The sequence below is a fragment of the Homo sapiens genome, chromosome 21 (assembly GCF_000001405.40).
Source record: "Homo sapiens chromosome 21, GRCh38.p14 Primary Assembly".
Classification (NCBI taxonomy): Eukaryota; Metazoa; Chordata; class Mammalia; order Primates; family Hominidae; genus Homo; species Homo sapiens.
The window spans coordinates 15126309-15141239 of record NC_000021.9 but is presented as its reverse complement, the minus strand read 5'-3'; the positions used below and the strand labels follow the sequence as shown (position 1 = coordinate 15141239).

Genomic DNA, 14931 nt, shown 5'->3' with positions numbered 1-14931 from the left:
AATAAAAAGAACAATTACAGAGGGAGACTCTATTCAGAAATGAATTAACACTGATCTACTGTTAAACAAGGAAAGGGTTCGCTTGATTTTAAAGGGTAAATCTGGTATTTATTTGATCTTTGATCATTAGAGACGAGAATTCTTTGACCTGTCTTGAAATTGCCCTCACGAGTCCTTACTTCAAAGGACCTTGGTTTTCTATGTCTGCTTGGAGCATAGTTATTCCTTAGAAATAGATTTTTTTACCTAGTCTTTCACACATCCTTATCTCGATTACTTTTGTACACACACAAATCCTCAAGAAATTATAGTTTGGGACTCGTTTAAACTTGCATATGAAGAATAAGTGCAAGAATCTGGGAAAATAATCTGTCAGTTGTTTGTAATAATCGCCTTAAATAAGCAGTCCCTGGCTTATCAAAAGCTTGCCCAAGTTAAACAAAGAAGGCAGTCAGCAGAGCCTCAGACGCTGAACTGTGAACCCTGGCTGGACCTTGCACTAGGCAGCCTAGTAACAGGAAGGCAGCAAGACACACTTTGAACCAGGGGTTCTAAGGCTGCCGTGGGGTTATAGACAGGGTGACAGCTGCACTTTGCAGCCTGAACTTTGTACCTCGACACAGGAGCATTTAATCTCCATAACAGGCACTTTGTTTCATTACTTATTAACAGTTCCTCCTTGAGTAAAGTTCTTTGTTAATGGAGCTTTAAAATATGATCCCTCTCCCCCTTATGCCTGCCATGGGGATGGGCATTTGTGCTTGTTTGCACTATCTGCCGCTACCATGGGCTCATCGTCCCTGGGGGAGGGCTTTCTCCTGTTCAAAATTGGCCCTTGCAGAGATGTCACTTTGTAATTGTGACTCCAGAGGTGGCACAGTGCTCTCTGGTTTACCCTCAGAGAAGGTAACCGTGATCCTGATGCCATTAAATGTCACACCAGGCAGCGACTGGTGTCACTTCACCTCTCCCCACCATGTCAACTCTTCTATTTTTTATCTTCCTTTTCACTTACTGCTTTTCCTTTACCATTTTTTTCCTTCTCTCCTTATTTTTTTTCTGCACGTTCAGCCTCACAGTGGCACTGGAGTTAACTGATGGTGCCCCCTGTCACACACATCATCCCCTCAGCCAAAGAAGCCAAGACGTGTTTTGTTGCAGTTGGAAGTCAAAGCAATTTAAGGGCACGTTCAAGTAACCTCCTTCCCAAATAAACACACTGTAGTTAACTTCAACAAATCAGTAACTGATACTCAGTAAGCCTGAAGGGTTAGCTATTTAAAGAGAGGGTCTGAGCTCTAGAAAAGGGAGAGTGAGATTGTTAGTGAGCTAAGCATTAGGGACCACCTGCAAAATCCATACTAGTCCTAGTGAAAATACTCAGACTTCCATCCCCCTCCCCAAAACCAGATAATATATTGCTACTATTTCAATTGCCAAATTTTGTTCAATACTGATCAATAAGTAGTCTTTGGTTTCTGGGACCCAGGAGGTGGTGACTACAGGCTATTCATTTAGTAACCAGCAAAGATCAAAGGGGCCCCCTCTGAAGCTTTGCTTCAGGGTCTGGGGGCCAACAAATTAACCTTTCGCCACTGGGCTATTTTGTCTATTTTAGTAGTTGAGCTTAGTTCAGACACCAAGTCACCCTCTTCTCATTTTTCTTTTAATCTTAAAAAACGCCTGTGTGTCTAGCTTCTCATTCAGCAAGGGGTCAGTCCTGGAGCCCAGTCTAGGGTACCATGCAATAAATACCCCTAATTCTCTCTGACAATTCCTCATTCCCCAACCACATCTAGATCTTCCAGAGTGGTTCAGCCCCCCACTCACCTATCTGCTTTATTTCCCAGGCACCAAGTCCGTTTATGCCAAAGCCGGTTGACCAAAACGTACTTTGTTAGCCAACCTAATATTCCTGCCTCATTTTCCTCTGGTTTTTGCCTAGTGTTTTTTTTTCCTCTGTTCTTTTGTCATTTTCTCTCTCCCCTTCTCTTTTCTTTCCTTTGCTCTTTTCTTTTTCATTAACATGCTCAAATACGTAGTTTAGAAATTCATCACTGGAGTACAAATGACAAGGTACAGGAGCAGGTCTGTCTTCTCTGTGCACATTGCCCTCCCTCGTTCCTAATATATTTTTGCAAGCCTGCCGTGACAAGGGGATGTGATCCAGTCATTTATCCTAGTATCTGGATTTGGGTTATTTATAAGAAAAGGAGGGAAATTTAAAACAAATATAAATTATTTGGAAACATCACATCTCCAGCTTTTATGTTCAGCGTCATCACTGGATGATCCACAGACTCTATATATCTAGCTTTCCTGTGCTGGGCTTTCCAGGGACCACCTCATTTTACAGCAAGATGGCAGGGAGACAAAAAAGGCCAGGCCATGCATTTCATTGTTTCTGTGCCAACGATCTTTTTGGTACTGAAACGTTGCACTTTTGGCTCTTCCCGCAACAGTCTTCTTGCTTCCTGCTTTCCTCTGGAAGCGTGCCAGCACCCGCAGCTGGGTCTCCAGCAGCTCCTCCCAAAGCCTTGGATTAGGGCTGCACCTGTTCAGGATTTGCTCAATCTGAAAAGTAGTAGGGCTTCTCCAGAACACATAATTACCTTTGCCCTGAAAGCAATGCAGTCGGATGCTTTGGCAGCACACTCAGGACAGCCAGGGCTGCAGACATGGCCTCCAAATTCAGTCTCAGTTACCCCAGGCAGAACACGGGAATTGACCCTTCCAACTCCTCCACCTGCCTCTCGATCCCAGAATCTTGCCACCTGCTCCAGGTAGGTTTAACAAAGTGCAAGCAAAGGTGACTGTAGCTTACATAGCTAATTGCTATAAGATACAAGAATAAAACTATGTCATATCTACTATAATAATCTAAGCTTACAGATGAGAAATGCAGGGTTTGTTGAATTTCTTTTTTCGAATAAGATGAATTCGATGAAACAAACATGATTACCCCATTTGATTCTTAATTCCTGACCAATGAGTGAAAATGTATAAATATGAGTTCAGTGTTTCATGGACATCCTAACAACAATTCCTTCTAATTTTCCATATTTTTTTGGTCTCTTCTCCCTGTATACACACACACACACACACACACACACACACAGAGGAACAGGAGAGAAGAGATGGGGAAACCAGACAGTAATCTTGCTGTAGAATAGAAGGAGCACAGGACAGGATCAGCAAACACAAATGTCTGCAGAAAGATATGTACCAACAACCTGAGTGACAGAGACTTTCCCTTAGACTTCCCGGGACCAATATTTTTATCTTTTATGCTTTGGAAGAAATAGTCATTAATTCCCAGAGTGAAAAATTGAAGAAAAGAAGTGAAGAAAAGGAAAATAGCAAGGACAGAGGCATTGCCACACTGAAAGTAGGGAGGTGATAAAGAGGGGCAGAAAGACTCTTTAAGAAAGTTGCTGTTGATTAGCTTTCTCTGGACCATCACACCAATCTCTCCTGCAATTTCTGGTCAAAAGTCCTTTCCTCTAATCACTTTTGATTTCTTATTTATAGTATTACTATTTAAAAAAAACAGGAATGGAGAATAGTGGTAAATATGGCCTAATATTAAAATATTTAGATAGAGTTCAGTGTCAGATCAACGAATTATTGCTCGATATAATCAATCAACTGCAAAACCTTCTAATTTCCACCCACAACTTCTTCTTGGTGATAATTTTGCATTTATCTTTGGCACAAATTAAGGTTAACTGCCTTTGATTATCTAAGACGAATTGCTCTGGATGAAAAGAGTAACATGACTCTTTTAATGTCATCTAGTTGCTGGTTCACAGTACTGATGCTTGCATGAATGTCTAGTTACTGGTTATCACATTTGGGGTTTTTTTTTTTTTTTTTTGAGACAGGGTCTCGCTCTGTTGCACAGGCTGGAGTGCTGTGGCACAATCATGGCTCACTGCACCCTCACACTTCCCTGGCTCAAACAATCCTCTCACCTCAGCCTTCTGAGTAGCTGGGACTATAGGTGTGTGTGACCATACCTGGCTAATTTCTTTTATTTTCCGTAGAGATGAGGTCTCACTATGTTGCCTATGCTGTTCTCTAACTCCTGGACTCAAGACATCCTCTGCCTTGCCCTCCCAAAGTGTTGGGATTACAGGCATGAGCCATGGCACCTGGCCAGTTATCACCTTTTATATTTCTTATCCTACTCCTAAAATAGCACTCCAGAACTATTTGATCTAAAAGGTCCAGAACTGATGTATGTGTAGTCATCTCTTTAACTATTCACACCTTATCTATTTATGTTGTTTTCCCCATCCTCATTCTTGAGCTGTCTATTCTCTTTCCCAGATGTTTCTTCCATTTCTAAGTTCTGTAAAGGTAGGTCATAGCTCTGGTCCCTTCAGTGCCTCCTTTCCTCACCTCAAGCCCTCAAAACATTTACTTGCTGATGTAATTCTTGGAATAGTTTTATCCTACTTCCAAATGTAGGTTGAACTCTTCCACTCCATGCTGGTAGACATTGATTTACCTGAGATTCATGGGTCCAGGTTGCAGTAGTAAAAGTCCCTTGGCTCAGGCTTCCTCTGTTGCTCCCAGTAAGAATGCAGAGAAAAAAAAAAATCCGAGTTTTAGGCTGTTGTGTCTGGTGAAGAGAAAAGATGGACCATTGACCAACTTGCTCTGCAAAGGCCTCTAAAGGGAGGCACAAAAGGAGGAATTCAGTCCCCAGAATGAAAGGAAATGTGGCATTTAATAAGCACATTGTAAATACCAGGCCCTGTGCTAGACTAAAGGAGTTTATATTTCTCTTTTGCCCTGGAGACAGAAAGCTGAGTCAGAAATCTGCACAGAGCATATGATGTCGACCAGAATTATAGATTTAGCCAACAACCTCTTGTGGTTCCTTACTTCTTCATGGAGGCTATCTAAGCTTTTTGTCCTGGCATTCAAATGCCTCCACAATTTAGCTCCCTATGACCCATCCAAATTGACTGTCCATTAGTATGCCTAAGGTATCTTCTTCTGAAGCCAGCTCATCAGAAAATTTTTATTCCTGTGCTTATTGCTATTTTATGGTGGAAAAATGTAGTCTTTGGAGCTGGCTGTGGTCTGTGTTTGAATTTCAGCTTTGTCATTAGTTAACTGTGACATTTTAAGCCTCAGTTGCTTCATCTTTAAAATGGGAATGCAGAATAAATGTGTCTTAGATATAATACCCATGAAGGACATAGCCTCGTAGCTGGCACGCAGAAGGCATGCAGTGAACTATTATTATGTCATTATGATCAGCATTGAATATTTCCTCCACATCCACCCTCTCCTCAATGTCACTCATCAACCAACAGTTTAATATCTAAGTTCTCTTTAAAACTATCTTTGCACTCCTAGTTCAAAACTACAGATTTATTTTCTTCATATGATTTCATACTTGATCGTATACTAGTTCGTGTACCACAAACCTGATCTTAAGTTATTTGAATGCATAGGTCTCTGCTAAAACACAGCTCTCAGGCTACAATAAATGAGCACTAAAATAATCATTTCTCAGCCTTTTGGCTACGATCATGTGTAATGAACAGTAAATCGCTGTAGGATTTTAACCTGTCCAGAGCATTTGCGCTTATTGAACTTCCTGGACTCTGGGACCTTATTTTCTAAAGTTAAGCCACATTCAACTTGCTACAAGCTCTTAATTTTAAAGAAGCTAAAATTGTGTGTAGTGCAGTTACCACAGAAAATAGAACATTGTAATATGGCAACTCTAATAAACTGTTTTTTAAATGCCAAAAATATGAATTTATATCTTATAAAAACTTTCTAAGCCTAGAATTAAAAAACACTGGAAACACACTTTTCCATTCCTTTGACCAATGCAAAAAGCCCTATGATTATCATAAAAAATGCTCCCCATGCATGTTTCCCTCCTGTCACTGAAGTGAAATGAACTAACTGAATGTTCTGGGAGCTGGTCTCGTATATAAACAACTTGTGGTTTGCTTTTGGTCCAATATAGTGATTTACACAGCACACGCAAGATAATAAATTACATTTGGTGAGATATACATTAACGATTTAAAGTGTGGGCTATCTTACACCCTTTAAAGAAGTATCTAGAAATATTTTTATTTCTGCTGTGGGAATCTTGGGAAAAGCGCAGGGCAGTGGCATGGAAAGTCCAGAATGTAGATGAGTCTTGACCCACCTGCTTAGAGATTAGCAAACTTTCCTGCCTGAACTTTATAGACTTGTTCTGCACCCAAGAGACACACCCAGCTCTGCCTCTGGGACCTGCCCCAACCAGCTTTCTCACCCAGGACAGGCTGTAGGAAACTCTTTTGTTCCTCTTTATAAGGATTAATTTGTCTCGCCACTTCCTGTATTTTTCAGAAGTTATTTCAATAGATTATTTTTAGGAACAAGTTGGAAGTAGCTGGTAGTTATCTACAGAGCCCAGAGCCAAAAAGTAAAGTGTAAAATTTACCCGCTAGTGTCAATCTTTCTAATCTATATAACCAAATTTCTATTAGTCATCGAGGCAATTTCCTTTATTTCACAGTGTTTTGAGTTTCTTTTGCTGTTTTTATCTACATATCCTCTGCTATTGGGCAAATTTAGAGGGTGGTGGAGATGATTGATAGGATTAGAAAGTCTGAAACTTCTCTGAAATACAAAAATATTTACATCAAAAATCTATTACAGAGGTAAGAAAAACCCCAAAATAAATTAATCTGAATGGCTCATAGATTCCAGATGGATAATGTTTTGGTAGCAAGTTATGGTTAGTACCCTCACCTGATTGTTCTTGGCAAAGTCCCAAGTACGTCCACAAATGATGGACTTATCAAATGACAGGATAGCCTTTAGAGTATTTTGCAATTGATAAAAAATATTGCATACCTTTCGGACATCCTGTAAATCAGAAGTTTCTATTTTACCATATCTGTTCTGGGGGAGGGGGGCAGGAAAGGGCAATGGACTGAATCAGCCCATCAATCAACATGTATTATTTACCATATACTCTTCTGTGCAAGCAAAACAACGCACGCTTGGCCTGGGGAACATCCAGACCATTGTAACACCCTATGCCCACACGAGGCAGCTGCAATTAGGAAAAATAACACACACCTAAAATGTAGTAATGCACAAGAGAAATGGATGGGGACACTGCACGGTGAGGTTTTGGCCTTAAGTTCATCTTCCTAAGAAAGACATGTAACTTCTCTTGTCTCAATGTCCGTTTTTTTGTTGTTGTTTTTTGTTTTTGTCTGTTTGTTTGTTTTGTTTTTTGTAAAAACTAAAAGCCCAAATAGGTAATTTTGTACATTTTCTTGAGGTTTGAATTTCTATGATTTGGTGAATCAGAATATAAAAGTGTTTATAATAAATGCTAAAACTTTGCTGTACTTAAAACTAGAAAATTAGACTAAGGAATGGCAACACCGATTTACTATTAATCAAAGGAGCTCAGAAACCCCAAAGGTTGAATGTCCTCACCCATCCTGTGCCAGTATCAGAAGTTTGGGGAAGTCCAACTGAACAGTGAATGGCGTGATGATGGCGATAGCATTTACTACTGCCACTGGAAAGTCAGAACTTATCCCAACATACTCTATTTCACTACTACATTGCTACCACACTGGCTCTTTCTGTCCCTCAAATAGAAAACCTCATTTCCACCACGGTAGACAAAACAATAGCTCCTTAGCTGTTCACTCCCTCATCCTCAGAACCTGTGAATATGTTATCTTCCATGGCAAAAGAGTCTTTGCAGGTATAATTAAGTTAAGGTTATTAAACAGGGAGATTATTCTGGATTATCCGGGTGGGGCAAATGTGTAATCATAAGGGTTCTTATAGGTTAGAGAGAGAAACGGGAGTGTCAGGTTCAGAGAGAGAACTGAAAATGCTTTACTGTAGCTTTGAAGATTCAGGAAGGGGCCATGAGCCAAAGGAATGCAGGTTGCAGGTGGCCTCTAGAACCTGGAAAAGCAAGGAAACAGACTCTGCCCTATAGCATCTGAAAGGAAGGTAGCCCTGCCAACGCTTTAATCTTAGCCCAGTGAAACTTGATTTTGTACTGCTGGTCTTCACGATTCCAATATAATAAAGTTGTGTCGTTTTAAGCCGTCAAGTTTGTAGGAATTTGTTACAGCAGCCGTAGTTAGCGAACAGGGTCTTTTTTCACCTTAGGGCCTTTCCACTAGCTGTTTCTAGTACCTAGAATGCCCTTTCCCTGGAATCTTTAGCTCCTCTTTGTCATTCTTGTCTCTAGATGTCATCTTCTCTGACCATGTAATCTACAGAGCCATCTAGACTTTCAGCTAATTCTCTGCATAGCGTACGTGTCATATTTCCAGTTTATTTGCTTCTTGACTGTCTTCTTCTCTATCAGGTCAGCTTCATGAGAACAAGAACCTTGTCTTTCATAACCACTACTCCACTTTCAGTAGTTAGAATAGTGCCTGGCCTAACCAACAGGTATTGAATAGAGGATTTAGGGAACCCAAGAAACATTCAGTGGATCTGAATCTTATAGAAAGGGGCCGCAACATATATACACTATATACACTTACATCATCTTTTAGTCATTGCAAAAGTCATTTGTTGCCACCTGTATTAGTCAGTTTTGTATTGCTATAAAGGATTACCTGAGATTGGGTGATTTATCAAGAAAAGAGGTTTATTTAGTTCACAGTTCTGCAGGTTGTACAAGAAGCATGGCACCAGCATCGGCTTCTGGTGAGGGGCTCAGGGAGCTTTTACTCACGGCAAAAGACAAGGAAAACTTGCATGTCACATGGTGAAAAAGAGAGAGCAAGAGAGAGGGGAGGAAGTGCCAGCTTCTCCCCTCTCTCTTGATGTGATAACAATCAGTTCTCACATAAACTAATAGAGTGAGAACTCACGCATTACTGCTGGGAGGGAACTAAGACATTCATGAGAAATATGCCCCCATGAACAAAACACCTTCCAATAGGCCCCACCTCTAACATTGGGGATCAAATTTCAACGTGAGATTGGAAGGGGACAAATATCCAAACAATATCACCACCAAACAAATGAACAAACAAAAACAATAAAAGTCTGTTCCCTCCATTTTGACCCTCTTTCACTGTCTTTACCTAACTCACAGAGCAAGGCTGAGAAAATGTAAGAGAATGTGGTCTGGACATCCCCAAAATGTGAACTATGGGATCAGGACAGTGCCTAACATATGTAAAGGTCTTTGAGTTCTTCAGGAATAAATGGCACTTTATAAATGTTAAACTACAAGTTTCCTCATATTGAAGATTCCACCTTTACAACGTTTCCACCAGCAAAATTCTGTTGCAGCAAAAAGAAGAGCAATCTTTCCCCTCCCTTGAAATTTGTTAAAATGGCATTTCCCTTGTGTTGCATTTCCTTAGACCTGTGCAAAAACATCTCCTCCCAAGATAGAAAGCAATGCACAGCTGTAGCCCTGGGAAGAATAATGCTGTGCTCAGAATATCAGATTTTTAAATCTACCAAAGCTGGAAAAGAGATTAAGAATTAAGGCTGAAAGTTTGTCTTTAATGTGCCCTATTATGCACCAGGAATTACAGATAATATGTCCCTTCAGATTCTGATGACCTGCTTTGCAGAGCTTATAGATGCTGCTGCACACAATTAAGGACAGCAGTTCGGCAAGGGTTGTGAATTCCCTTGCTTGCGTTGATTTGACCCTCACACCCCTGCTGTTGTGGTGATGTGTTGTGTATGAGGTATAAAGAGAGAGATGGTAAAGAGATGGTGAGGGAAAGAGGGCAAGATAAATTATTTTGTACTTATATGATCCCTATAAATAATACAACATCGAAAGGGGAAAAAGAAGAAAGAGTTTTAAAATTTGTCTGCTATGGTCTGAACCATACATTCATTAGTTTCATCTTTTAATATTTTAGCAATTTTTCTCTTTAACTGCATTTAAATTTTCCAGTGGAGCTCTTTAGGCCTTTGATTTTATTTTTTCCTTAACTAGAACTTGCAAACTGGCAGCTATTGGCCAACTGACGCTTGTAGACCTGTTTTGTTTGGCTGCTCATTGCTTTAAAAAAATGTTTTTAACTGGAACACTTTTAGGTGGACATATCTGTTTCCCAGTAGATTCCAGCACTTTCTATTCTCTTAATCTGGCTGCTTTACACGTTTACTTTTTCCATTCTTTTTGGCCCTGAATGTGATAGACTCTGGTCTGATTTATACCTGGTTGATATGGGCAACTTGGTACATCCAACTCTAGAAGTCTCCATATATGGATGCCACACTGTTTGTTCTGTTGTTCCCCTGGAGGAAGAATATGACTCACCAGTGCAGCTACCCTGTTTCTCACTCCCCAATCAGTACTTCTGATTTATATATTTATGTACTGGAAGAAAACTTTACAAATTTAAAATTCAAATCACAATTAGATGTACTTCCACCTTGTCTTTTTTTTTTTTTCCAGAAAGGATTGAAGATGGCTATTAGATGAAGTTATAAAATTGATGATGAATTAGTTTCATTTAAAACCATCAAATGATATATAAATCTGGATCATCTTCAAAAAATCCTGGCCATATTGGTACCAGGTGCATGGCAGAAGTCAGGCACAGGGGACTGCTGTTTTGTGGAATTTGTTAGACATCCAGTTTTGAAGGAGGAAACAGATGTTCCATTTTCAAAGCATTTGACACAATTGACAGACGTAAGATTTCACTCTGGGTGGGGGAAGGGCTCTGCGGATCCATTGAGCAGTGATTAGCACATGTTTCCAACGTGAGTGTCACTGAGCGGAGGAGCCCACAAGGGCCGATTCTCAATACCAAGTGCAGAATGGAGGTAGAAAGGTGGGTGGAGAAGGTGGAAGAGGTGTTGAGGCCTGTCTGGTAACTACCAACCAACACAGAGTCAGCGGTGACTCCTGCATACCAGGAAAGAAAGGAGGTGCATTTACAAGAGCCAGAGAATCCTGAAAAAACACAACTGTCTTTCTCTGGAGTTCAATTATTTTTTCTGCTTCCTCTCCACATCTATTTAATTCCCTTCTCAGCTCAAAGTTTAGGAATTGTTGGGGTATACATTTTAATGCAAGCCTGGTCCAAGCCAACCTCGTCTCTCACCTGACTTTTGCAAAGATCTACCAGCTGCAAATGTAATCACATCACAGCTGTTCTTACAACCATCCCCTGGATTGCCCTTGTTCTTATAGTAAAGCAAAACACGTTTAATCAGCCCTTCAAGATCCTGCATGATCTATCCATCCCAGGGCTTCTCAACCTCAGCTCTATTGGCATTTTTAGTGTGATAATTCTTTGTTGTGGGGGCTGTCCTCTCCATTGCAGGATGCTTAGCAGCATTCCTGGTCTTGACCCACTAGATGCTAGTAGAACCCTCCACTCCCAGTTGTGACAACCAAAAATCTCAACCAAGCATTGCCAAATGTCTGCCCTGGTTGAGAATAATTGATCTAACTGGACCCTGCCCTGCCTCCAGCCGAATTCTGCACCACTCCCCCAATATGCCCCAATCACATCCACTGCTCTCTTGTTCTTCAACCACACTGGCTTCCTTCCATCTATTCACATGGATTCTTCTACCATTTTTACATCTACTTGTCTTCTACTCCACATCCCCAACCCCGCACTATCTCATTCCTACTCATCTTTCAAGGTGAATTTTTTTCCTAATTCTTGTAGTCTTCCTCCCCCTAAACCATGCATGCTTCCATAACACCTGTTTTTCTACAGAACTTATCATCATTTATCATCATTGAAATTTCTTTTGTAATTAGTTCTGTCTGTTATCCCTTCTGCACAGAAAGCTTTTTCAGGATAGGAGTCTTATTTGTGTAGCTTGCGGCAGTTTCTAGCTCCTAGCATAGTGCCTGATGCACAATATTTCCACATAAGTAACTACAGACAGAAAAATGAGATGACGTACTAAAGCCAGGATACTCAGAGAGAGATGTGACCACGGGTAAGCACTGAAGCTACCCACATGGGGATTCTCCATTGGATGTTGATATAGTGCACAGTAATGGCTACACCTGCAGTAATAACAAATAATTTATGCCAGGTCCTGCACTGTATACTTATTAGGTCAATGAATCCTTAAAACCATGTGATGAGGTAATAGCATGAGGGTCCTGATATGGTTTGGCTGTGTCCCCACCCAAATCTTATCTTGAATTATAGCTCTCATAATTCCCATGTGTTGTGGGAGGGACCCAGTGGGAGATAATTGAATCATGGGAGTGGTTTCCCCCATACTATTCTTGTGGTAGTGAAGAAGTCTCACAAGATCTGAGGGTTTTATAAGGGAAAACCCCTTTCACTTGGCTCTCATTCTATCTTGTCTGCCACCTTGTGACATGTCTTTCACCTTCTGCCATGATTGTGAGACCTCCCCAGACATGAGGAACTGTGAATCTATTAAACCATATCCCCATTTTACAAAGAGGTTAAGGAAATTGTCTAGGGTCATACAGCTGGCAAGTAGCAGAACCAGAATTCATACTCCAGAAGTTGGACCCAAAGGTCTTTGTTCTAAATTCCTATACTTTATTGCCTACCAAGAGTCAGGGAGCAGGGAGTTAAATTCTTAGCACTTCTTCACACCATATTTTAGGAGATTGTTTTAAGAATGTCTGAGGTCGGCAGAGTCTTGTTAAGGTCTATATTCTCATGAATAGGGATAAAGAAAGCATTCAGAAGTAGAATACCCATTGCCAACTAATTCTTCTTAGTATTGTTTGGAAGGTGAGTTAGACATGGGGACAGTAGGGCACAAACAAGGGGACAAGGAAGTGAAACTGTCTCCTCCACATGTCACACCCATTTAAAGTTCATTTTAATGAACAAACTTCTCTTAACATCCAGAAATTTTAGCATAAATGATCTTGGGCCTATAATAAGAAAGCTTTCCTTCCATTGTGTGTGTTTGTGTGTATGTGTGTGTGTGTGTGTGTATGTATTTATGCAGCTGAATATAACAACTATAGACCTATATACCAATTATAACAACCCCAGGTCATTCAGTGCAGAGAGATGAGTAGGATTACTCTGAGAAGAGTTTGGAAAGCCATAAGCCTTTGATAGGGTTACCACATACTTGGTTCCAGAAAAGTAGGTGGGAGAAGAACACTGGACATGAAGTGGAAAGATGCCAAAAGTAATTGCTACCCACTTTGCAATTACTCTCTGAGCCCAGAGGCTGAGAAAAATCATCCTGAGGGCTACCTTTGGCACTGTATGCTTGCAACAGCGTTTTCATGAATAATTCACTTTGCCAAAGTAGAAGTAAGCATGGTTTGTAGTTCACTTTCCTTCCATTAATTTAATCTATGACTTTCATTTTGTCCATCTGTAAAAACAAAAGAGATACGAATATTTAGCTGTGAGCCAGGGAAGTGATTTATTAGACAACATTTATAAATCATTATTTATGGCACACTAATAGTTTAGCAAATGTATTTTTTAAAAATAAGATATTTACTGAATACAAATTCAGGAGAATAATAAGCATTCTGTCCATAGTAGACTGAATTTTATCTCTTCTCCTACAGATAAAATTTCATCTACTCAATTTTGATCCATGTACTCAGTGCCAGAAAAGGCTCAAAGTATAAAGTCCATCTGCCTAATGGAGGTTTTGTCTATCAATCAAATTTGTCATGACTTGGATTAAGTTGTTGAAATGATCAGCTTTTTGTAAAATAAGGAAGGTGGAAATGACAGAACAAATTATGGTAAACTATAGGGATTTAGGGCAAATGACCCTTTACCAGTAGAAATCCAAGATCTTGTTACTTAGACTCCCTTCAGGACTGGTAGAAAGAAAATATTCTCATAAAGGTAGTGTCTTCATCCTTTTGGCTTCCTCCTGAGGCACCCACCCTGTTCATCATGGTACTGTCCCAGTGTGCTGGCTACCAGTGACCTCACAACTAATTAAAAACTTGAGTAGCAGCAATGTTCAAGGGCTGGAAGTCCTTTCTGAAAGCAGGACTTCTGGCTCCAAGTTTTGGACTTGGTGATACTAAGCTAATTCCGCAGCATGGACACAGGCTATTTTTGGGCAAAGCCAACTCCTGTGTCTCCCTCCCTACAGTGGGAACAGGAGCTGACCTTGTCTGACCCCTGGTAGCCTGGGCATGGTGACTTCTCTTAGGAAGTTATCAAAAAACAACGTGGAGTGTTGCCTGCAAAGGGCATGGCATTGGATAGCCAAAATACATCTGGAACCTCTCAAGAAAAGTATCTTCATATCCTGTTAGGACGAAAACTCTTTACTTCTTTTTTTCTTTTTTTCTCCCTTTCTCAAAAGTGAAAGAGGTTGGTGAGATAAGTGAGGTGGCAAAGTTGCTCCTAAGCTGATGCATAATGTGAAGAAAACATCCTGATCCTTTTAAAAATCAGTTTAATTACTGGTGTAGTTCTCTGGGAAAGGCCCGGGTGTCCCTGTTAAATAATCTTTCTGAGATGGAGAGCATCTTAAAAGAAGAGAATTATATACCTAACTGTGTATGGATACCTCTCTAACTAGGTCAGTATTCAGTATGTGAATATAAATTATTTTGTACCCAATGAGTAAAAAGAAAATTAAATTTAATTTTGAATCATTTTATATAAACATGTGATATTTCCATGAATGGAAAGTATGTGCTATTTTTCCATGAAGGACAGACTATTAGAGGAAAGAAATGATGAAAGGGAGCAGTAAGCTATCACCCAATTATTTCCTTTTCTTTCTTTTGGTGGGGAGGAAAAGCCGTCCTGCAATTCTGCTCCAGGCCACAGCCCCACTTTTGACCCTGGCCTTATTTCAGGGGCACATAGACAGCCAGCCTTTCCATTTGTGTCTGCAGAAGAAATTAAGTGGGATACAAGGCTGTCCTTCCCAAGTACATTCTGGAATTCCTAAATCCCCTCTCCTAGCGTCTCCTCT

At 40.3% G+C, this 14931-nt stretch overlaps 1 long non-coding RNA gene across 1 annotated transcript in view, besides 2 other annotated features; it reads left to right on the top strand.

Moving 5' to 3' along the window:
* Positions 558 to 852: a silencer, noted in NCBI's record as "tiled region #10306; K562 Repressive non-DNase unmatched - State 22:ReprW". NCBI's record gives its function as "represses a minimal TATA promoter and a strong SV40 promoter by Sharpr-MPRA in K562 cells {active_cell/tissue: K562}" and the evidence as "EXISTENCE:reporter gene assay evidence [ECO:0000049][PMID:27701403]".
* Positions 558 to 852: an enhancer, noted in NCBI's record as "tiled region #10306; HepG2 Activating DNase matched - State 5:Enh". NCBI's record gives its function as "activates a minimal TATA promoter and a strong SV40 promoter by Sharpr-MPRA in HepG2 cells {active_cell/tissue: HepG2}" and the evidence as "EXISTENCE:reporter gene assay evidence [ECO:0000049][PMID:27701403]".
* The window catches only part of LOC107985483 (uncharacterized), a 33489-nt gene continuing 21190 nt past the window's right edge, over positions 2633 to 14931 (top strand). The window contains exon 1 of the long non-coding RNA XR_001755094.2: positions 2633 to 2783. This is a non-coding gene — a long non-coding RNA (uncharacterized LOC107985483). The remainder of the gene's footprint in view (positions 2784 to 14931) is intronic.